The 22,904-nt window shown below is 43.5% G+C and overlaps 2 long non-coding RNA genes across 2 annotated transcripts in view, besides 5 other annotated features; one reads left to right on the top strand and one right to left on the bottom strand.

The window, feature by feature from the left end:
* Window positions 1–22,904, top strand: part of LOC105378657 (uncharacterized) — a 203,343-nt gene that overhangs the window by 16,777 nt on the left and 163,662 nt on the right. The gene's annotated exons all lie outside the window — the stretch shown is intronic.
* Window positions 999–1,759: an enhancer, noted in NCBI's record as "H3K4me1 hESC enhancer chr1:38950677-38951437 (GRCh37/hg19 assembly coordinates)". NCBI's record gives its function as "activates a minimal SCP1, AML or CMV promoter by ChIP-STARR-seq in primed H9 embryonic stem cells {active_cell/tissue: H9 hESC(primed)}" and the evidence as "EXISTENCE:reporter gene assay evidence [ECO:0000049][PMID:30033119]".
* Window positions 1,760–2,520: an enhancer, noted in NCBI's record as "H3K4me1 hESC enhancer chr1:38949916-38950676 (GRCh37/hg19 assembly coordinates)". NCBI's record gives its function as "activates a minimal SCP1, AML or CMV promoter by ChIP-STARR-seq in primed H9 embryonic stem cells {active_cell/tissue: H9 hESC(primed)}" and the evidence as "EXISTENCE:reporter gene assay evidence [ECO:0000049][PMID:30033119]".
* On the bottom strand, window positions 10,280–11,568 carry LINC01685 (long intergenic non-protein coding RNA 1685). Its single transcript, NR_146761.1, has 3 exons — window positions 10,940–11,568; window positions 10,509–10,571; window positions 10,280–10,377 (listed from the first exon to the last, which is right to left on the bottom strand). It is a non-coding gene; the product is annotated as a long intergenic non-protein coding RNA 1685 (long non-coding RNA).
* Window positions 11,560–11,739: an enhancer, noted in NCBI's record as "active region_795". NCBI's record gives its function as "activates an Ori minimal core promoter by ATAC-STARR-seq in GM12878 lymphoblastoid cells {active_cell/tissue: GM12878}" and the evidence as "EXISTENCE:reporter gene assay evidence [ECO:0000049][PMID:35858748]".
* Window positions 12,020–12,129: an enhancer, noted in NCBI's record as "active region_794". NCBI's record gives its function as "activates an Ori minimal core promoter by ATAC-STARR-seq in GM12878 lymphoblastoid cells {active_cell/tissue: GM12878}" and the evidence as "EXISTENCE:reporter gene assay evidence [ECO:0000049][PMID:35858748]".
* Window positions 12,160–12,219: an enhancer, noted in NCBI's record as "active region_793". NCBI's record gives its function as "activates an Ori minimal core promoter by ATAC-STARR-seq in GM12878 lymphoblastoid cells {active_cell/tissue: GM12878}" and the evidence as "EXISTENCE:reporter gene assay evidence [ECO:0000049][PMID:35858748]".

Raw genomic sequence — 22,904 nt, 5'->3', positions numbered from 1 at the left:
TAGCAACAAGATGACCTCTCCTTCCTCCCTTCCTTCCTTCCTTCCTTCCTTCTTTCCTTCCTTCTTTCCTCCCTCCCTCCCTCCCTTCCTTCTTCCCTTCCTCCTGCCTGCCTGCCTGCCTTCTTCCCTTCTTTCTATATCTCCACCCATTCTCCCTCTTTTCTTCTGAAAAAAAACACATTGATTTTACCTTTCTTCTGGGGGTATCCCCTAAACTGGGAACAAGCTTTGAAACTTCAGCGAATTCATTTATACCTAGGTATGTTCAAAAACTGGAAGAGAGGGCCAAAAGAGACCTGTGAACCAAGATGTTTGGTGGGAAGGGACAGTGACAAACGTTCCTGGGCTACAAGCCCTCAGATGTCAGAGCAAAGCCCTGCTCCACCCGCTGGCATTGTGCAGGGGCGGCAGGCGGTTCTCCCAGTTCTATAACTGCTTTTGTGACCCCTTTGTACCCCAGGCTGGACCCTGGGAAACACTAGTTACACATCTCCAGGCAGAGGCTGCTGAGGTGGGCTTTAGAGATGTTAATTTGCGTAATGATTTAGAGTTGATTGACAGGAAGCAGGACAATAAGCCTGGAAATGTGAATGAACCAGGCTGGAGCTGAGGCTAGAGGGCCCCAGGAGATGGAGGAATGGAAGATTTCTGTCTAGATTTAGATTCCCAGGAAGCAGACGATTTGGTTAGAATTCAGATCTCTGCAGCCAGAACTCAGCAAATAGAAACTAAGTAATTTTGACTTTTTTAAAACCAGGGGGTCAGTGGATGAGCTTTAGGGGATCCTTGAAATGAAATACAACATTTTATTTGTGGGTGAATTTCCCTGGAGACAGGAGACATAGCTTTCATTAGATTGTCAAAGGCATTTGTGACTCAAAAAAGTTTAAAAGCCACTGGGCCCTATGTCTCCAGGGAGCAGACGATCTCAGGAAGAAACAGGTCTCAACTGTCAAATCCAGATCGGTGTTAAGACCCCCAGTGCTCCACTAAATTTGCTCCCACCCCACCCTCACCTCCTAATTGCTAAGTTCACTGTCACCCTTTTAATGCTCATATGGCATTTGACACTCTTGACTACTCCTGCCTAGAAACTCTGTCTTCTCTGTTTCCGTGACACTCATCTTCTGGATTTCTTTTTGCCTCTCTGATTTTTTTTTTTTCTGTATCCTTCGTGGACTTGTTTTCTTGGTCCACCTTTTAAATGTCTCCCTTCTCCAGGGTTCCATTTCATGCTCTCTTCTGTTGACTCAATACACATGCCCTTAGTGGCTCTGCCCACAATCCCCCTCCCTGGGAATTCCATGCCATGGCATCCACCTGCCCTCTACGCCAGGAACCTGGGTGGGATCTCATCCCAGCTGTGTCCTCCCCCCATCAGTAGGTCTGATCAGCAATAGAAGTCCTGAGTCAGATCAGATTGGGGCCCTCATCCTTTTCTTTCCCACTGCCCCTGCTTAGCTCTGTTGTCAGCCATTCAGCAGCTCCGGCTCTCAGCAGCCTCCCCAAGCTGCTCCCCTGGCCCACGGCCTCTCCCACAATCCATTCTCCACACTGTTGTTGCAGTGATATTTCTAAAACACAAATGTAACTTTATCATTCTCTACTTAAAACCTTAGGGCCAGGCTTGGTGGCTCACACCTGTAATCCCAGCACTTTGGGAGGCTGAGGCAGGCAGATTTCATGAGCCCAGGAGAAAAAAAAAAATAAGAAGTTCAGGATAAATGGGAAGTTCAAAATCTTTTTTTTTTTTTTTTTTTTTTTGAGACGGAGTCTCGTTCTGTTGCCCAGGCTGCAGTGCAGTGGTGCAATCTCGGCTCACTGCAAGCTCCGCCTCCCGGGTTCATGCCATTCTCCTGCCTCAGCCTCCCGAGTAGCTGGGACTACAGGCGCCCGCCACTGCACCCGGCTAATTTTTTGTATTTTTAGTAGAGATGGGGTTTCACCGTGGTCTCCATCTCCTGACCTCGTGATCCGCCCACCTCGGCCTCCCAAAGTGCTGGGATTACAGGCATGAGCCACCGCGCCCGGCCAGGAAGTTCAAATTCTTTAGCTTCACACACCAGGACTTTCAGGAGCTGGCTGCTGACCAGTCTCGATCCCATCCCCCACCATGGACCCACAGGCCCCTTCTTCTGGCCCCTCACTGGCTGCCTCGTCATGCCCTCCAGGTGCTGTGCCCTTGCACACTTCTGATCTCTGTCCTCTATCTGTAACAGCCTTCTCTCACCCTTTGCCTATCTATTCTGTCCAATATAGACACATTTTAACTTTAATAAAATGAACAGTTCAGTTCCCCAGTTGCATGAGCCACATTTCAAGTGCTCCGTTACCTCACGTGGCTACTAGGTACTGTGTAAGTAGATCATAGAACATTGCCGTCACTACAGAAGATTCTACTGGACAGCACTGGTCTAGCTAACTAACTGTTAACAGTACCTCTGAAATTCAGCCTGAGTCACCTCATCCAGGGAGCCTTTCCAGTCCAGGTTAGACATCCCTCCTCAGAGCACCTTTTATCTGCCTCAATTACACTGTAGTATGACATCCAATTGACTTTCATGGATGTCCCATCATTCCGTAGTTTTTCTGAGGGCAGGGATCATATCTTACTTGACTCAGTATCCCCAGCACCCAGCACAGTATCTGGAAAAACAACAACAATGACAACCAAAAACAAAAACCAAAAAACAAAAACAGATACTCAAGAAGCATTTGTGGAATGAATGAAGTGGTACCCAGCTGAGCTGGGCTGAGCAGCAGAACCATGGCCCTCTAAGTATTCCTCATCTGCAGGGAGTGTGTTGGTGACAGAAGGCCTCCTGTCGGGGAGGGACAAAGCTTTGATCCCTCAATTGGAGGGGGAAGGAAAGAAGTCCTTATATTCCTTTGGCTGGTGCAATGGAAGTGGGCAAAAGTAACCATTGAACACCTTTAGTTTTCTGTGCATATAATCATGATCTGAGATTCAGACCAGTGTGGCTTTCTTCTCTCCTTTGTAGGTAATTTATGTATGTAGAGAGCCACAGAATCTTAGAATTGGAAGGAACCTTAAAAGTAATGTAACTCAGACCTTTATCCAATGTATTCATCTCCTCTGCAGCAGAAGTCTCCACTTCATCACATCCAGTGACAGGGAACACCCTTCCTCCTGAGTCAGGCCATTACAATTCCAGCCAGCTATTTTGGTAGGAAGTGCTTTTTAATATTGAACTGCAATCTGCCTTTTTTTTTTTTTTTTAATCTGCAGGCCTGACCCTAGCTTTGTCTTCTGATGCACAGAGAATGCATCTGTCCTTCTTCTATAGTTATAAGCAACCTGTGGGTGCAGGCATTTGTCCTTTCCTCCAAAGATTATTGGAATTACTAGGTTGGACACCTCATGAGCAGTTAATTTTTATTAAACCAATTATTTCACGGCTTCCTATTTCCTTACTGATTCACACAGAGATGTAAATCAGCAAACTTTTCTTGTCATGGAAAGGCAATATAATGTTTTATGCCTTAAACGCTTTTTACATATAGAAACTAAACCAGTTTTTGGTTGAGATGTTCAGGGAAGGAGCTAAAATGTCGAATCAGCCATTCCCTCCTGACAGGCCCCCTGGGATGGAGAGTAGATGGGGAATGGATAATCGACATTGCCCGAGCAGAGGCTCATGTGTCAATATCTCATTGTTGATATTTTATTATTTATAGAATATAATGCTGGTACATGACAGTCCTAATAATAGCAACAACAGTGATAGCTAACTTCTACTAAGAGCTTACTATGCACCATATATATATATATATATATATATATATATATCTCATGCTTTTTATATATGTTGCATTTTACAACTATCTTGTGTGATAGGCTCTATTACTCCCACTTTGCAGAAGAGAAAATTGAGGCACAGAGAGTGTTCTGTTTTGATTGGTTAGTTTCCTTCTTCTCTTATTATTCATGTGAATTCCTAAGCTCATCAGGTGCACAAAACATATCACACTCCAACAGATCACATTGACCATCAGCTGACTACGAAATTTCAGTTCCTGAAATCCTCACAGCATCCCTGTGAGGTGAGGTTTATTAGTTGAGAATTTAATGGTTGAGAAAATAAAGGTTCAGAAGAGTTACGAGCCTTGTCCCTCACAGAGCTTGCAAGTGATGAGAATTGGAACTTCAACAAAAATCTCCGAACCCAGTGCTGTTTTCACAGCACCACCTCACTTCTCCAAATGAAGGCAGGGGCCCATCCGTGTGACCTATTGTTTGAAACATGTTACGTAGGTTTTTTAGTTCCCTTTCTAAGGTAGTCAGCACAGACGTCCTTGTCCTATTGTCCTAAGTGTGAGGGGTGGTGGGGCTAGACCTAGGACATAGGTGTTCTGGATTCATGCTCTCGAATTTCCAAAGACTCTTTGACCTGCTCAAGGACCAGCAAGGTAGAGCATGGTCCCAGATGTGTTCACAGCAGTCTGCCTCTGAGGGCTTGCTTGATGGAAGGCATACCCTGGACCGTTTGCTCAGGCAGGTGCTGAGACTCTTTTGAGCTCCTCCCTGTGGAAGCTCTGTTAGCTCTTTAGATCCTGCTCCTGCTCCAGCCCTGGGCTAGCCTCATGGGCTCTGCTGTTCTTCTGTAAACCATACAGGATGTCTCCAAACAGGGTATTTCACACAGAGTAGGAAGGATGGCTTCGCAATCATGGAGTGGGCACCAAGGCCCACCCTCTCCAAGTTCCTTTTTCACCCCAACTCTTTGCAAATATAGGAAAGTCATTTATTGTTCTTGTGCTTTCAATTTCTCAGAGTCAGAGAAAGGCCATAATATGTCATTCTCACCGTTAGTTGTTAGCTTCCAATGAGACAAAATATTCACTTGTTCATTCCTTTGCTCGTTCATTCATTCATTCATTTATTAGCAGATATGTATCCAGTGTCAGCTAGGTGCCAGGCACTCTTAGGTGCTGAGGATACAGCAGTGGACAAAACAAAGTCCAGTCCTCATGGAGCTTCTGTTCTGGGAGGGTTACAGACCAAAAGCACATAAAGAAGGAAAAGTAAAGCAGGATACAGGGACAGAATGTGACAGGGGTGCTATTTTATAAGGGTGGTAAGAGACAATTTCTGCAAAGAGGTTATATGTGAGCAAAGAACTAAATGAAGTGAGGGAGCCAGCCATGGGACTAGGGAGGGGACTGTTCCAGCCCTGAAATGGGACCCCCTTGACCTATTTAAAAACACACAAGGAGGCCAGTGTTGTCAGAGTGGGATGAAGGAAGGTGGGAATACCGAGAAGGAGGTCGGAGATATAGCCTCAGGCCAGTTGACATAGACTGTAGCTCAGGTTATCTTCATGTAGGGATGAGCTGGAGCCCAGGCACCCTCCAAGCATTGGGTACCAGCCACTCTGGTCAGGCTAGGCCAGAGTTCGGAAGACTATGGCCAAAAACAGATGGGACTTCTGGAGTGATCTGAAGTGTAGGCTAGATTCTGGTTGCAGCTCCACAGTAAGCAGTTCATACAGAGAACCAGAGGTTCAAAATCAGGCTCATGTAGAGAATCAGGTTCAAAACCTGAGGTAGAATCCAGGGATGTGGCTCGGGAAGCCAGTAGGGCATGGGTGGACCCATGGCCTGGAAGCAGTCTGAAACCAGGGCCGCTCCTGGGGCCCCAAACCAGTCACTGCAGCAGGCCTGTCCCAGGGAAACAAAGAGCCTCTCCTCTAGCAGGGCTGTGCTTGGGATCTAGGGACCCTACCCACTTTGGTTGCTGTTGCAGAGCCACAGAATGAGAGGAAGAGTCTCTCATCAGAACCTCAAGGCACAGGCCAGGCACGGTGGCTCACACCTGTAATCCCAGCACTTTGGGAGGCTGAGGCAGGTGGATCTCTTGAGGTCAGGAGTTCAAGACCAGCCAGGCAACATGGTGAAACCCCCGTCTCTACTAAAAATACAGAAATCAGCCAGGTGTGGTGGCGGGTGCCTGTAATCCCAGCTACATGAGAGGCTGAGGCACGAGAATCACTTGAACCCAGGAGGGAGAGGTTGCAGTGAGCCGAGACTGAGCCACTGCATTCCAGCCTGGGCGACAGAACAAGGCTCTGTTTCAAAAAAGAAAAAAAAAAAAAGGAGTCTCAAGGCACAATCTGGACTAACCTGATGAAAGAAATTGGGGGAACTAAAGGAGGGATGGTCTCTGCTCAGGATCACTTGCTGAGTCTCTGTTCCTGGAATTCTAGCCCAAGCCCTCTGCTTTGGACTCCATGTCTTCAGACTTCCAGTCTGTGTGGGCTTTTCTAGGCAGGCTTATTTGTAATGTCTTCATTCTCCCATCCTAGTGGGGCTCAGCAGATCCAGAATTCATGTGCCCCAGTTCCTTCTGGAGGCCCAGGGGTACACAGAAGCCCCAGTTAGGCTCCCAAGGCCTGGCACAGACCACCCACCATGGCCAGCTTATCCTGGTGACATACTGCCAGCTTATCCTGGTGACATACTGCCATGAAGACTGAGAAGGGTCTCGGGAATTAATTAGGCAGATGAGCATTCTGGACTTCATGTAATACCCCTTGCTCCTGCTACAGAAATTGTATTGTAGGTGGTGCTTTATAGTTTGCAGAACCTTTCAAAACAAAACTGAAGTATATCTCATACCATAAAATTTATCCCCTTGATATGGTTTGGCTCTGTGTCCTTATCCAAATCTCATCTTTTAGCTCCCATAACTCCCATGTGTTGTGGGAGGGAGCCGGTGGGAGATGAATGAATCACTGAATTGTGGGGGCAAGTCTTTCCCATGCTGTCCTGGTGATAGTGAATGAGTCTCACAAGATCTGATGGTTTTAAAAATGGGAGTTTCTCTGCACAAGCTCTCTCTTTGCCTGCTGCTATCCATGTAAGATGTGACTTGCTCCTCCTTACTTTCTGCCATGATTGTGAGGCCTCCTCAGCCACGTGAAACTGTAAGTCAACTAAACCTCTTTCTTTTGTAAATTGCCCAGTCTCAGGTATGTCTTTATCAGCAGTGTAAAAGCAGACTAATATACCTTTTAAAGTGTACAATTCAGTGGTTTTAGGTATAGTCACAGGGTTGTACAACCATCACTACTATCTAATTTCAGAGTATTCTTCCCACTCACAAAAGAAACCCTGTAACCTTTTGTAATCACTTTCCTTTTCCCCTTCTCCCCAGCCCCTGGCAGCCACTAATCTACTTTGGCTCTATGGATTTGCATTCTGGACATTTCATACAAATAAAATGCTACAATGTGTGGCTTTTTTGTGTGTGTCTTGCTTGCAGCATGAATCAGTACTTCACTCCTTTTAATGGCTGAATAATGTTCCATTGTATGGATATTACACATTTTGTTTATCAGTTGATTAGTTGATGGACATTTAGGTTGTTTATAATTCTTGGCTATTATGAATAATGCCACTGTGAACATTTATGTACAAGTTTTTGTGTGGACATATGTTTTCAATTATCTTGGTTGCAATTGCCAGGTCATAGGCTAACTGTGTTTTTAACTTTTTGAGAAACTGTTGAACTGTTTTCCATAATGGCTATACCATTTTACATCTCCATCAGCAATGTATGAGAGTTCCAATTTCTCCATATCCTCACCAACATTTTTCATTGTCTTTTTGATTATAGCTATACTAGTGGGTCGAAGTGGTATCTCACTGTGGTTTTTATTTGCATTTCTTTAATAACTAATTATTTTGAGCATCTCTTTATTTGCTTATTGTCCATTTGTTTATCTCCATTGAATAAATATCTATTCAAATTATTTGCTCATTATTTAATTGGGTTATTTGTCTTTTATTGTTGCATTGTAAGGGTTCTTTATATATCCTGAATAATCTTACCAGATGTATGATTTGCAGATAGTTTTGCCTATTCCATGAGTTGTCTTTTTACTTTCTTGATAGTGTCCTTTGAAGTACAAAATTTCAAATTTTGGTCAAGTCTAATTTACCTATTTTTTCTTTTGTTGTTTATGCTTTGTGGTGTCTTATCTAATAAACCATTGCCTACTCTAAGGTCATAATGGTTTGCATCTGTTTTCTTCTAAGAGTTTTGTAGCTTTAGCTCTTACATTTATGCCTTGGATCTATTTTGAGGTATTTTTGTATATGGTGTGAGGTATGGGTCCAAAAGCATTCTTTTTTACATGGCTATCCACTTATCCCAGTGTCATTCGTTGAAAAGTCTCTTCTTTCCTCCATTGAGTTGTCTTGGCACCCTTGTCAAAATTCAATTAACTCACATACATTTTTAAAGATGTTGGTTCTACACTTCATTATGAATTAACTTGTTGGGATTAAAATTACTCTGTGGCCTCACAGGGCCAGCCTGTAGAACAGACCCTGGCACAGAGTAGATGCATAATAAGTGCTGACTTTAGTCAAATGGAATAAGCCTAGGAGATAGACACATTCACTCTTTGAGCCTCTACTGTGTTCAGTGGCCCCCCTGGGATGGAGAGAAGTGATTTTCTCTCTGGCCCCTGCTCTGCCAGTAACCCTGTTGAGCATAACCATTTCTACAAAACACATATCTGATTTATCTTGTAGTTTTGATTCTGTGTCTGCCTCCTGGGGACTCAGCAAGCAAGCAAGTTTTAGCTCCTCTTTAGACCTGAGGAATTTACCTGGAAGCTCTGATCTACATCCTTGGTAGGGATGCAGAGTGCTGTGGGCTGGTGTGTACTTCTCCCTGCAGGCTACTGGGGTGGCCTTTTAAGTGCAACCCTGTATGTACACGGGTGCTTTCCAGCATTCCCAGACCTTGCCTTGATAACACAATGTGATAACATTAAAGATATATGCTTGGGAAGTAAAACGTGCTGGTACCCCCATTCCCCAGAACAAGTATTTTCATTCTGGTATGTCCTTTCTAGCCCTTTGCCACATACAGACATGTTTTCTTGCATTTGCCAGTACAGTGGAAATATGATTTTGTGGCTTCATTTTGTATGTTGTTGCATAAATATTTTCCATATCTCTACATGGCCTTCATATTCCACATTTGTAAGACTTCATTGTGTTGATATGCCAGTCCCTTCCTGTTGAACATTTGGACTGCCCCCTCCCCAGCTTTTAAGAAAATAGAGTTTTAAAAAAACAAAAACGAAAACAAATCACATCCCACTTGTCACAACCACGGTTCCTATTCAGATGCAACCTGCAAGCCTTGGTGGTTACAGGCTGGCCAGACCTGGACCAGGCTAATGACTGGAGACGGGCTAAACAGATTCAGAGAAAAATATGTATAAAAGTGATCTGAGTACCTCGGTGTTTCCATGAAATACGAGATTAAGCGGTTTGCATGTGTGGCCTAAACTCTTCCAACTTCTAGTAATGTAATCAGGGTCACTGGTAGTTGAGTTAGTGAATCAGGAGACTCTGAGCTGCATGGAAAAGGAGGAAACTTTTGCCCAGTAGCAAACTAGAGTCAGAAAAGGAGAGGCCGGAGAGGCCAGCGAGAAACATTCTAAAGGGGAGGGAAAACGTTGCCAACAATTTTGCCTGGTATCTCAGAATGGTCATTTGGTGCTTTGGAGAAAACCCTTAAATGACACAGAAGTTTCCATCTAGTTGCATCCTGATTACCAAGCGACCCTCTGTGCAGAGCAGGGGCCCAGGTCCTGGAGAAATCCAGTCAGGAGAAAGAAGGCGCCTCCCTGTTTCCAGGGTGTTCTTCTGGAGGCCAAGGGAACAAGGACACACACGGAAAGATGCCGTGGGCCGGAGAGTAAAGCTCACTTGTCTCGCTGTGACTTCTTTATCTGAGGGCCTCCCACGTCCCGCTAAGCTCTGCGGGGTCTGGGGGAGGCTGGGGTAGCCCCAGAGCCACCATTGTGCCCGCGCAATTAAACAAGAATGCTCCGACTTGACAGTTCCACTGTGAAAGTTTTCAAATAGTGTTTGGAATGTTTACATAATTGTTGAAAAGAGGCTTTTTCAATGTACCTGTTTACACTCTTTCCTTTTGGAAATTCTTTCAGCAATCAGGCCGTGGAGGGCTCTCAGGCTGCACTTGCCGCCCTTGATTGCGGAGGGAGGAATGAAAGGCCCGTCAGTGAATCGCTGGGAAAACATTCCCTAACAAACGCCCTCTAATGAGGGGGCGCCGCTTTCGCTGCGGCTGCGGCGGTGGAGAGGGCGCGGGGAGCGGAGGGGCAGGGGCGCGGGCCGGGGGGAGGCCAGGCCCGGTTTTGTGGCGGCGCTCCTGGGTGGGGGGGGCGCGGACCCCGGGTCTTTGTGTGCAAATTTCCCACCGGGACCAAGCGACTTTCCACAATTTAATTAAGTGGCTTTAGAGTCCGGAGTTGGCCTAACAAGCTCCTGTTCATGAATGAAAGATTTGTCCGCAGCAGCGGGGGCCGGCTGAAAACAAAGTGGGCCGCAGTTACCCTGGATCCGGCCGGTTTCGCTGCTCCGCGGCCAGCCCCAGCCTCCCGGGAGCAGGAGAAGGCGGCTGCGGGGGCTGGCAGCGGTCCTTCTGGGACGCGTCTCACCTAGCTCGCAGCAAATATGCCATCCATATGCCCAGGATCACAACCGAATCAGCTCCATCAGGCCTGGCAAAGAGGCATTTAAATTGCTAATATTGCACTGGGGAACGACGACAGAACTGCCTGGGCTCAGCTCTGTGGGATCCACAGAGACAAACCTGGGGGTGGGGGTGGGGTGAGTTGGGGATGGGTTCGGAAAAAGTCCAAGTGAGAATCACTAGAAGCTGGCTATTAGGAGGGGCGAGAAGTGGGGATCCTTGGTAGAGAGATGCCAGGAGAAACCGTGGCAGAAATGCGCCCAGGGTGGAGCGCTGGTGCTGGTGGGCCACTCGGGCCCCTTTTCCATCCATTATTTCTGAAGAGAGGCCAGCTGGAGTTTCTACAAAGGCTGCTCTGCTCCAGGGAGGCATCCCCCCACTCCCCAGCACTCTTACCTTTGAACAAGACAGGTTTTCTAGAAAGACAAAAAATATTGGCTGGTTGGAAGAAGAGAGGGGCCAGCTGCCGCTGTGAAATGTTCCTCGTTTACAGTTGTTGAGTGTCCCTGCCCTTGGCTGTGGTCTGTCAAGCAGGTTTGGGATCAGGGGGTCTTTTGCAGCTACTTTCCAGTGGAGGGTTCAATGAGTGTTTTTCTCTGACTGTATTTTTAGAAAAAATTATGATGACAGTTGTTAGGTCTCAGGCAGGCAGGCAGGCAGCACATTCCATTACAAAGTTAGCATGAAATCAATATGTAAATAACCCTTTCTAACTGGCAGCTATTTTTGAAGGCAGAACGCACCGGATGTTGCAGGTTTGTTCCAGTTCACTTTAAATACCTCTCTGTTCTCAGAGCCTGTGAATGTGCTCACATTGAGAAGAGCCTTTTCCCCTTTTCACTTGATCTTTGCAGCGTCCCTGATAGTGGTAATGCCACCATGAGCTTTGTCCTCAAACCTCCTCCTCCATCATTTAAAAATCAGATTGACAAGACCCGCACCAGGCTGGGAGTGTTAGTTCCCCTTCGGCATGGTCATTTTTCAAAAGCACGGGTTGCTCCAGGAAGGGTACAGGCGGCAAAAGCCGTGGCCATCCGCGGAAAGAATTAAAGGAGCGAGAAAGCCCGAGAGGCTGCGATCAGGGTTGAATCAGAGATTCAGGCAGTCACTGCCAAAATGCATGGAAGTCATTGCCAAGACATAAAAGGTCAGAGGATACCAGCCGTGAGAAGAACCAGGTTAGAACCGTGACTGCAGCTGAACAGGAAGAAACAGGTCTCAAGGTACTCCTGAGTGAGCAAGGGCCTGAGACCGAAGGTCTTTGCATAGTTCCTTGTCAGTAGTGACAGTTTTCATTGTGGTTTAATTTTGAAACTAGCTGTGCTGTGTGTATCTGCATGAAAACAGAAATACTTCTAGAATGTTTAGTGTCAGTCATGGATGGCGCCACAATGCCTGGTGTGACATATGGGGTGTGCGTATGTGTACATGTGCTTATTTATTTCCTGAATTCAAAGGGGCAATGAAGTTCAAGCTGGGGCCTAATAGTAATGATTCCTACAGTTACTACTATTCTATGAGTTTTTATGCACTTGCAGTTCTACAGTCTTTTTTAAATAATTGAGTTGAAATCTGCTTTGCTGTAACGTATATACTATGGACTTAGACCCAAAACAAGGCTTCCTCTGCCATAGAATCATCTTCAAGACAGGTGGTGTCTCACTCAGAGATTTCTCTATTCCTAGATAAATAGTTCTTGTTCTTCAAAGATGGGAGTCCCCTCCCACAAGGAGACTCCATCGGGTCCATGTGTTGCCTCCATGTTCTTGCCATTTAGTGCATCTCTGGAATGAACCAGAAACAGATATTCCTCTTGAGGATTTTCAGTGTGATTTAACTGCAAAAGGACTGTCTCTCTGCCGGGAAGATGCATTTGGGGTGAGGCTTTAACTCTCCAAGTGCACAGAGCTCTGTCTTTTATTGCATGAAGGTGGTCAGATGAGGTAGAAATTTGACCTGTTCTTTCTGGGCCTGGAAGGCAGAGCTATGATCACCGAGGAAGGGGAAATATTACAGGGAAGTCATATTTCAGCTTAAAGGTGGCATGAAGAAGAATTTTCTAATGAAGAAGAAATGACATGCTTTGAGAGGTAGTGAGTGTCCTACAACCTGGAAGGATTCAGGCTGGGTAGAGGGTTTCACCAAAGGTAACTTCCAACTCTGGATCTGGTCATCCGTCCGCTTACGCATTTATTGATGCATGCTAGATGCAAGGGGCCATTCCGGGCTCTGAGAGGTTTCATCATAGAAATTAATAGAGAAGGAACTGATACTTTTTTAGATTGGGATAAAATACACACAACAAAATTTATCATCTTAACCATTTTAAATATACAGTTTAGTGGTATTATGTTCACAATGTCGTGCAAACGTCACCACTACCTTAGAACTCCTTTCATCTTGCAAAACTGAAACTGTATCCATTAAACACCTTCCCATTTCTCCCTATCCTCAGCTCCTGGCAACTACCATTCATTTTCTGTCTATAAATTTGACGACTCGAGATGCCTCATATAAGTGGAATATGAGGAATTATACAGTATTTTTCCTTTTGTGACTGCCTTATTTCACTTGGCGAATGCCCTCAAGGTTCATCCATGTTGTAGCATGTATCAGAATCGCCTTCCTTTTTAAGACTAACTCATGTTCCATTGTATGTATATATACCACATGTTGCTTATGCATTCATCTGTCAATGGACACTTGAGTTGCTTCCACTTTTTGGCTACCGAGAATCATGCTGCTGTGAATATGGATGTACAGATATATGTGCAAGACCCTGCTTTCAATTCTTTTGTGTATATACCCAGAAGTAGAATTACTGATCACATGATAATTCCTGTTAAATTTTCTGAGGAACCAGTATATTGTTTTCTATAGCAGCTTCATCATTTTACATTTCCACCAACAGGGCAAATTCTCTCCACATCCTCACCAGCACTTGTTATTTTCTGGAATTTTTTGACAGTCACTATTCTAATGTGTGTGAGGTGGTATCTTAGTGTGGTTTTGATTTGCATCTCTCTAATGATTAGTGATGTTGAGCATCCTTTCATGTGCTTATTGACCATTTGTGTATCTTCTTTAGAGAAATGTTTAGTCAAATCCTTTGCCCATTTTTTAATCAGGTTGGGTTTTTGGTTGTGGTTTAGTTATATATTCTGGATAGTAACTCCTTATCAGAAATATAATTTGCAAATATTTTTTCCCATTCTGTGTGTTATCGTTTTACTCTATTGGTTGTGTCCTTTCATGCACAGAAGTTTTACATTTTGATGAAGGTCAATTTATTTACATTTTCTTTTGTTGCCTGTGCTTCAGCATCATAGTGAAGAAATAATTGCCATAGCTTATGTCATAAAGCTTTTCCCCTGTGTTTTTTTTTCTAAGAGTTTCATAGTTTTAGCCCTTACATTTAGGTTTTGGGTCCATTTTGAGTTAATTTTTGTATATGATGTAAAGTAATGGTCCAACTTCATTTTCTTGTATGCAGATATCCAAAGCAAGATACTCACAATCATTTGTTGAAAAAACTGTTCTTTTCCCATTGAATGGTCTTGATGCCCTTGCTGAAAATCATTTGACAATATAAGTGAGGGTTTATTTCTGGGCTGTCTATTCCCTTGGCTAATATGTCTATCTTTATGCCAGTACCACATTATTTTGATTACTGTAGCTTTGCAGTAGGTTTTGAAATCAGGAAGTGTGAGATCTCTAAGTTTGTCCTTTTCCAAGATTGTTTTGGTTATCTGGGGTCTCTTGACATTCCATATGAATTTTAGGTAAGAAGAGCTAACATTTATTGACTATATATGATCTCCTAAGTGCTGGCCATGCAAATAGGATGTAAGGAAGAAGTAAGCCTTGTTTTCTAAAAGTACAATCTTATAATAAAAGATAAGACATAACAAATAAATGTGAAGCAGAAGTGGACAGGTGCTTTATGCACCTACATATTATGAAAGAAGGGAAGGGAGGAGTAACTGGAGACAGTTCCAGACTACTTTCAGAAAGAAAAGTTATGGTGGAATCTTTGATTTATGGATTGTTAAAATTGTCACAATGTTTTTCCTGAATGTGGAGTAGATGACTATGCTAAGATAGACAACCCCTGTCTTTTGGTTGCTCTTCTCTCATCCTTTCTTTTTTCTATCATTTTTCCTTTTTTTTTTTTTTTTTTTTGAGACACAGTCTCGCTCTGTCACCCAGGCTGGAGTGCAGTGGGGTGATCTTGGCTCACTGCAACCTCCACCTCCCAGGTTCAAGCAATTCTCCTGCCTCAGACTCCCGAGTAGGTGGGATTACAGGCACGCACCACCATGCCTAGTTTTGTGTGTGTGTGTGTGTGTGCCATGTTGGCTAGGCTGGTCTCCAATTCCTGACCTCAGGTGATCCACCTGCCTCAGCCTCCCAAAGTGCTGTGATTACAGGCGTGAGCCACTGCGCTCGGCCTCTCCCCCTTTCTTAACCTATTGGTTCCTGACTGTCCCTGATGACATTTAATTCAGTCAACAAATATTATTATGTACTATCTGCTAGATACTGACTGGGATACAGTGAGCAAAACAGACCCAGCCTCTGGCTCATAGAGGTTACACCTAGAGGGAGAGACAAATGTCAGATACTTGCCTGAGTATATATAATTAGGGACTGATAAACGCAATGAAGGGAAAGTTCAGGAAACTATCAGAACATATCTTGAGGGAACTGACCTAGTTGGAGAGGAAGTGTCAGGGAAAGCTTTCCTAAGGGAGTGACATTTGAGTTGAGATGGAAAAGATGAGTAGGAGCAGTCTTGGTGAAGGAGGCTGCAGGGAAGTGTACCAGGCAGAGGGGAAGAGCATCAGCTAAAACCTCATAACAGATGAATGAAATCTGATTTTAATGTTAAAACAAATAAATAGCTAAGTAAACACTGGTCTTCAACTCCATCCTCTGGTTCCAAAAATTACCTAGGACTCAGGAAATTTGAGGAATTTATTCATTGAAGTACTCAAATGTTATATGTGGGATTTGTTATATGTGGGATTTAAACAGAAATATGTCATTGCTGCCATTTGAATGAATGTCACAAAAAGGTTTAGGCAAAACTATCCACATTTTGATAGCCTACTTAGCATCGCATGGGGTCATAAACTTGCCACAAAGAAAATCTGACTAGGCTGATGAGTGCTGTTTGGTGTATAGGTTCAGAGTCTTCCTCAACTAAGGAACAGGAATAATTGATCCCATAGCCCTTTCAGCTCTATGAGTTTCTCATAGTTTGTGTCTATAATAGTAATCATGAAAAACACTAAGTATATCAGGAATGGGTTAAATATCCAAAACTATTTTATCTGTATTAGAAGAACAGAAATGACTCTTCAAAAATAAGCCAATGACTAGGCTCATCATGGTCATCAACTCAATGGAATATTATATGGCCGTTAAAAATAATAATTTTGACAAAAACATAATATGTGGAAAAATACCTATAGTATAATAGCAAAAGAAACACAGGTGAAATGGCATGTATATAATGACTACAATAATGAACTGGAAGGGTAAATTTATAAATGGGAAATCATTGTTAGGAAGAGAGATGATGGACATGTAAGCTTTTCTTTTCATAAGTTTTAATGTTATTCCATTTTATCTTTATATTTAAAAATGATGGGAGAAAATTTTTGCAATCTACTCATCTGACAAAGGGCTAATATCCAGAATCTACAAAGAACTTAAACAAATTTACAAGGAAAAAACAAACAACCCCATGAACAAGTGGGCAAAGGATATGAACAGACACTTCTCAAAAGAAGACATTTATGCAGCCAAAAGACACATGAAAAAATGCTCATCATCACTGGCCATCAGAGAAATGCAAATTGAAACCACAATGAGATACCATCTCACACCAGTTAGAATGGCGATCATTAAAAAGTCAGGAAACAACAGGTGCTGGAGAGGATGTGGAGAAATAGGAACACTTTTACACTGTTGGTGGGACTGTAAACTAGTTCAACCCTTGTGGAAGTCAGTGTGGCAATTCCTCAGGGATCTAGAACTAGAAATACCATTTGACCCAGCAATCCCATTACTGGGTATATACCCAAGGGATTATAAATCATGCTGTTATGAGGACACATGCACACGTATGTTTATTGCGGCACTATTCACAATAGCAAAGACTTGGAACCAACCCAAATGTCCAACAGTGATAGACTGGATTAAGAAAATGTGGCACATATACACCATGGAATACTATGCAGCCATAAAAAAGGATGAGTTCATGCCCTTTGTGGGGACATGGATGAAGCTGGAAACCATCATTCTCAGCAAACTATCGCAAGGACAAAAAACCAAACACCACATATTCTCATTCATAGGTGGGAATTGAACAATGAGAACACATGGACACAGGAAGGGGAACATCACACACTGGGGCCTGTTGTGGGGTGGGGGAAGGGGGGAGGGACAGCATTAGGAGATATACCTAATGTTAAATGATGAGTTAATGGGTGCAGCACACCAACATGTCACATGCATACATACGTAACAAACCTGTACGTTGTGCACATGTACCCTAAAACTTAAGGTATAATAAAAATAAAAAATAAAATAAAAAAAATGAGCTTTTTAAAATTAAGAATTTTCTTGGAGACAAAAGACTAAATACCAGCACCATATTTCTAAGTTTAGCCAGTAGCATTTTGGAACCCCTAATGGGAAAAATCACTATTAATTATGTGACCAAACCAGTAAGTTGGGAAAAGTTGTCATAGCTAGAATATTGGTAGGAATCAAATATGTGAATATTTCTTTTGAGTGTTGGGAAGTCTAAATAGTTTTATGACAGGACACAGTAGTACTAATCCTATGAATTTTGGTTACAGTTGTTTTTCTTTATATTTAAAATTATCCCTAACATGTAGTTGTTTTCAATATTTTAAATTTCTAACTGTAAAATATACATAACATAAATTTTATGTATGTATATATAAGTGCATTTCTAAGTGCAAAGTTTAGTAGTGTTCAGTATATTCACATTGTTGGGCAGTGGAACTCCAGAAATTTTTCACCTTGTAAGACTAAAACTCTTAAACAACTCCTTATTTCCCTTTTTCCCCAGCTCTTGGCAACCACCATTTTACCTTCTGTTGCCATGAATTTGACTACTTTAGCTACCTCATATAAATGGAATTATACAGCATTTCCCTTTTTGTGACTGCCTTATTTCACTTCACATAATGTCATCAGAATTCATCCATGAGGTAGCATGTGTCAGAATTTCTTTCCTTTTTAAGGCTGCATAATGTTCCATTGTATGTATAGACCACACTTTTTTTTATCCATTCATCCATGGATGGACACCTGGGTTGCTTCCACCTCTTGACTATTGTGAATAATGCTGCTATGGGTGTACAAACATCTCTTTGATATATTTATGTTTTGCTGACCCCCTTGATTTGGATCCTCTTTGGGAAATCACATTCCTCTATTGTCCACTGCTCACTCCACTATGTCTGAAAGTCTGCAAGCTCTGAGGATTATCTTTAGTTAATCCCTGGCTCTCAAGGGCTGGGAGGCTTGCACCAGTTGTTGAGAGCTGATCTTCAACTGCAGTGACACAAGATTATCTCGTCTTTGGTGATTGACTCTTTATAGTGACTGTGGCTTAAGAAGTCATTCTCAGTGATATCACCAATGTCTAAAGAAGGTGCTGGGGCCAGGCACAGCGGCTCACAACTGTAATCCCAGCATTTTGGGAGGCCGGGCAGGTGGATTACTTGAGGTCAGGAGATCGAGACCAGCCTGGCCAACATGGTGAAATCCTGTCTCTAATAAAAATACAAAAATTAGGGCCGGGCGCGGTGGCTCACACCTGTAATCCCAGCATTTTGGGAGGCCGAGACTGGTGGATCACCTGAGGTCAGGAGTTCAAGACCAGCCTGGCTAACATGGCGAAAACCCATCTCTACTAAAAATACAAAAATTAGTTGGGCATGGTGGTGTGCGCCTATAATCCAGCTACTTGGGAGGCTGAGACAGGAGAATTACTTGAATCTGGGAGGCAGAGGTTGCAGTGAGCCAAGATTGTGCCATTGCACTCCAGCCTGGGTGACAGAGTGAGACTCCGTCTCAAAAATAAATAAATAAATAAATAAGTGAATAAAAGTAAATAAAGAAGGTATTGGAAGAATAAAATAATGGCCCCCAAACAGCTTTATGTTTCCCAAGTCTAGTTCAGGCTTGTGACTACTCTAATCTATCTACACTTGTCATATTCAGAGATGATTCCACCACTTAATAACTGGGTTTCCAGTGATTTGGGATGTGTGATAATTCAGCTGGTACAAGACTGATGTTTATTTTTTACACTATTTATGAATTAAGAGACTAGTAAACAAAATAGTCTTGTAAACAAAATTACATGGTGAAGGTGGAGAATGTTGCAACTGCTTAAGGGGACAAAACATATTCAAGGATATTGGCAGTTTCATTTGCATATAATTGATGTACTAATTATAGATAGGTTTGTCTACTAATTAAAGTAACGCAGTTAGAACTTCTACTTAGAAATTTTGGTTAACAAAGCATATCCTTGAAATTAGTAAAATTACATTTCTTCGCTTTTGCAATTTAAATATGAAAAATTTCTACTCTTTGCTACAAGTTCCTAGAACTATTATTGAATGAATTATTAGAAAGTAGAGCACATTCACCAATAAGAATGACATAAATCATTCATTTAACAAACATTTTATTGAGCCCCTACCATGTGCCAGGCATTGCAACGCACCAAATAGAATAGAACAATGGACATGACAAATAAGATCTCTGATCTCCAGAGCTTGCCTTTTAGCAGGTGGGAGGCAGATAGTAATAGACAAGTAACAGGTAAATGAATAAGATAATTTCAGATAGTGAGAAGTACTGTGGAGGCAGTAAAGCAGGGTCATGTGACAGTATGAGTGAGGAGCTTGCTACTTTAGCTTAGTAGGTCAAGGAGGGTCTATTTGAGAAGGTGACATTTGGCCTGATATGGGAAATACAAGAAGGAACCGGCTGGGTGCGGTGGCTCATGTCTGTAATCCCAGCACTTTGGGAGGCCGAGGCAGGTGGATCACCCGAGGTCAGGAGTTGGAGAGCAGCCTGGCCAACATGGTGAAACCCCGTCTCTACTGAAAATACAAAAATTAGCCAGGTGTGGTGTCACGCACCTGTAATCCCAGTTACTTGGGAGGCTGAGGCATGAGAATTGCCTGAACCCAGGAAGTGGAGGTTGCAGTGAGCCGAGATTGCACCACTGCACTCCAGCCTGGGAGACAGAAATAGACCCTGTCTCAAATAAAAAATAAATAAATAAAAAGAAGGAACCAATGTTTGGGAATAACCGGGGCAGAATCTTCTAAGACAAATTCTCTAGGATCATAAGGAACAGCAGATTCCACAATGACAAGGCTGGTGTGGTTGGAGCATAGTAGGAAAAGGGAGCCAGAGACATGCAAAGAAGTTGAAGACACAGGCAGGCATGAGCTAAGAGGAGCTCTGCATGCTGTGGTCAGGAATATTTTATTCTAAGTAGAATGGAAACCACTGCGTGGGTTTAAGCAGGGCAATGACATACTCCCAATTTGTGTCTTAAAAGGCATTCTCTGAGCTTTGTAGAGAACAGGTGATCAAGGGGCAAGAGAGGAAGCAAATCTTGTACCTGATCAAGGACAGCTACATGAGTTAAAGTCAGGACCAAGCAGAGATGGAGTAACTCCAATCTAGTTAATTTATGCATCTTCTTTTTTACCTCTGTGTCTCCCTCTTCTCTCCCCTTTTCTGAGCACAACAAACTCCTATGGCAGAAGTTCTTAATCTAGAGGTTACATCAGAATCACCTTGGGAGGTGTCGGCAAGAATGGTGCCTAGTCTGACCAGGGGAGATTCTTGCTTGGGATGAAGTCTGATCATATTTGTTTGTTTAATCTATTCAGGTGATTGTGTTGTGCACTGCAAAAAGTCCAAATGACAAAAGACGATGATGGGGTTGCACAGAAATTAGGGACAAGAGGCCGGGCATGGTGGCTCACGCCTGTAACCCCAGCATTTTGGGAGGCTGAGGTGGGCGGTTCACAAGGTCAGTAGATCGAGACCACCCCGTCCAACAGAGTGAAGCCCCGTCTCTACTAAAAATACAAAAATTAGCCGGGCGTGGTGGTGGGTGCCTGTAGTCCCAGCTACTCAGGAGGCTGAGGCAGGAGAATTGCCTGAACTCGGGAGGCGGAGGTTTCAGTGAACAGAGATCACGACACTGCACTCCAGCCTGGTGACAGAGCAAGATGTTGTCTCAAAAAAAAAAAAAAAAGAAAAAAAAAAGAAATCAGGGACAAGAGGAACAAGCACACTTTTTTGCTCTAGGGACTCTCCATACAGGCCAGATGCTGTATACAATTAATTGTGATACTAAATACGAAGAAAAGAAATCCATGCTAATACTGGGGTCGGGGAGGGAGAGCTACAGACAAAGCGCTCCTGGTGTGTGGGGAAAGGGGAGATCCTCAACCCTGGGGAGGGGTAAAGACCTGATGACCTGGATTTTAGCCTCAGAGCTTTGTTAGTGACAACTGGTGGAATCACTTCACCCTTCAACTGGCTGTGTCATTAGTGACTGGCTGCCTGTGTCCCCCCCAAGCCATGGATACAGAGAATGAGTTGGCAAACTAGCAGGGCTGGGCCAGAGGCAGGAGGAGGGGGCCACGCAGGAGGCAGGGAAAGTGAATTGGCATTTCACTCATTCAGATCCACTCTCCCCACTCCCACTCCCACCAAGGCTGAATTTCTGAGCATGCGTTCCTCCTAACTCATCTTTTCTCTAGGAGATTGATAGGAGCAGTACCCTGGATTCGTGGGCAAACTAAAAAACACAAACAAAAGTCCTAATTTCTCAGGTTCCCATTTGCCATTTCCACCCTCAATACCACCACCTACAGAGTGGGGAATTTGGAAGTGTGTAAGGGATTCGGCTGACCTGGCTTCTCAAGGAGCTTTCCCTGTGTATTGAGGGATAGAAAATAGGATTTGGGGTGGGAAGGAAGGGGTATAGAAGTGAGAAAACTGTGGATGCTATATATCTGTATTGCTTTTCTCAGGCTTAAAAATGCACACTAGACTTACAAAGAGATCAACCAAGGGCCAAGTATTTGCCTTACAACAGGGCTCCCTAAGGCATTTCTTTAAATTGCAAGGTTTCCCCAGTGCCTTCATTATTGAGGATCATTAAATGGAAAAGATGCAGTTGATATTAGGACCTCGGGAGCCACTGGGCAAGCTTATGTGCTCTGTTTTCATTAGCTATGTGGAATATGGGTCATCTGGTTAAGTTACGACTTTCTCTGAGCTGTTTCTGAGCTCCTGCTACTTCTGTTGGCCTCCTCATTTGGCCTCTGCATCTTGTGGAAGACACCAAAGCACTTGACATTTAACATTTATCAGCAAAGTTAAAAAAAAAAAAAACTAACGCGAATTAAACAGGATTTTTAATCCCCTCAACTGTTGCCATCAGTATAATCACTAACAGAATGAAATCAGAATCAGTGGAGGAAAATATTAATCATGGATTTGCATCTATTAACTATCATGCAGAAGAGAGCAGGTTGCATGCTCCTGGGTGATTGTGTAAAATTTCTGAGGCAGGCAGCTGCGAGTCACTGGGAGAGAAGGGTTACGCACTGGAGTATCTGTTCCCTTCCCACCAGCGTCCAGCTGTTGTGGCCTGCATGCCCTCAGAGGTTCTACTTGCTTCAGGCTGAGGAGGCAGAGAGCTAATAAGAACTTCCTGAACAGAGCCCTGAGAGTTAATTTGGATGATACAGGAACTTTTGGGGCGTTTTGAGACTGTGAGTCTCTAATTGTTTTAAAAAAGTATGTGTGTGTGCACAGTAGCTTCCCCTGGGCTGGGAGTTCACCTCTGAACGTATGAAATTAATCCATTGCTGCGGGCCAAGACAAATAGCAGCTGGAGGCCAGGAACAGGGTTCAGAGTAGGTCTTTGGGGATACGGTCTTTGGAAGAATGGACTCCAGGGGTTAAGAGTGTGAACATTGTGTTGAAACAGACCCACTTTTCTTTTTTGCTTTTTGTTTTTTGTTTGTTTGTTTGTTTGCTTTTTTGTTTTTTTTTTTTTTTGAGACAGGGTCTTGTTCTGTCACCCAGGCTGGAGTGCAATGGTGTGGTCTTGGCTCACTGCAACCTCTGCATCCTGAGCTCAAAAGATTCTCCTGCCTCAGCCTCCCAAGTAGCTGGGACTACAGGCATGTGCCACCACACATGGCTAATTTTTGTATTTTTTGTAGAGACCATGTTTTCCATGTTACCCAGGCTGATCTCAAAC

The sequence above is a fragment of the Homo sapiens genome, chromosome 1, assembly GCF_000001405.40.
Source record: "Homo sapiens chromosome 1, GRCh38.p14 Primary Assembly".
NCBI lineage: Eukaryota > Metazoa > Chordata > Mammalia > Primates > Hominidae > Homo > Homo sapiens.
Note: the sequence above shows the minus strand (reverse complement) of the source record. Positions and strands in the feature narration are given on the sequence as shown.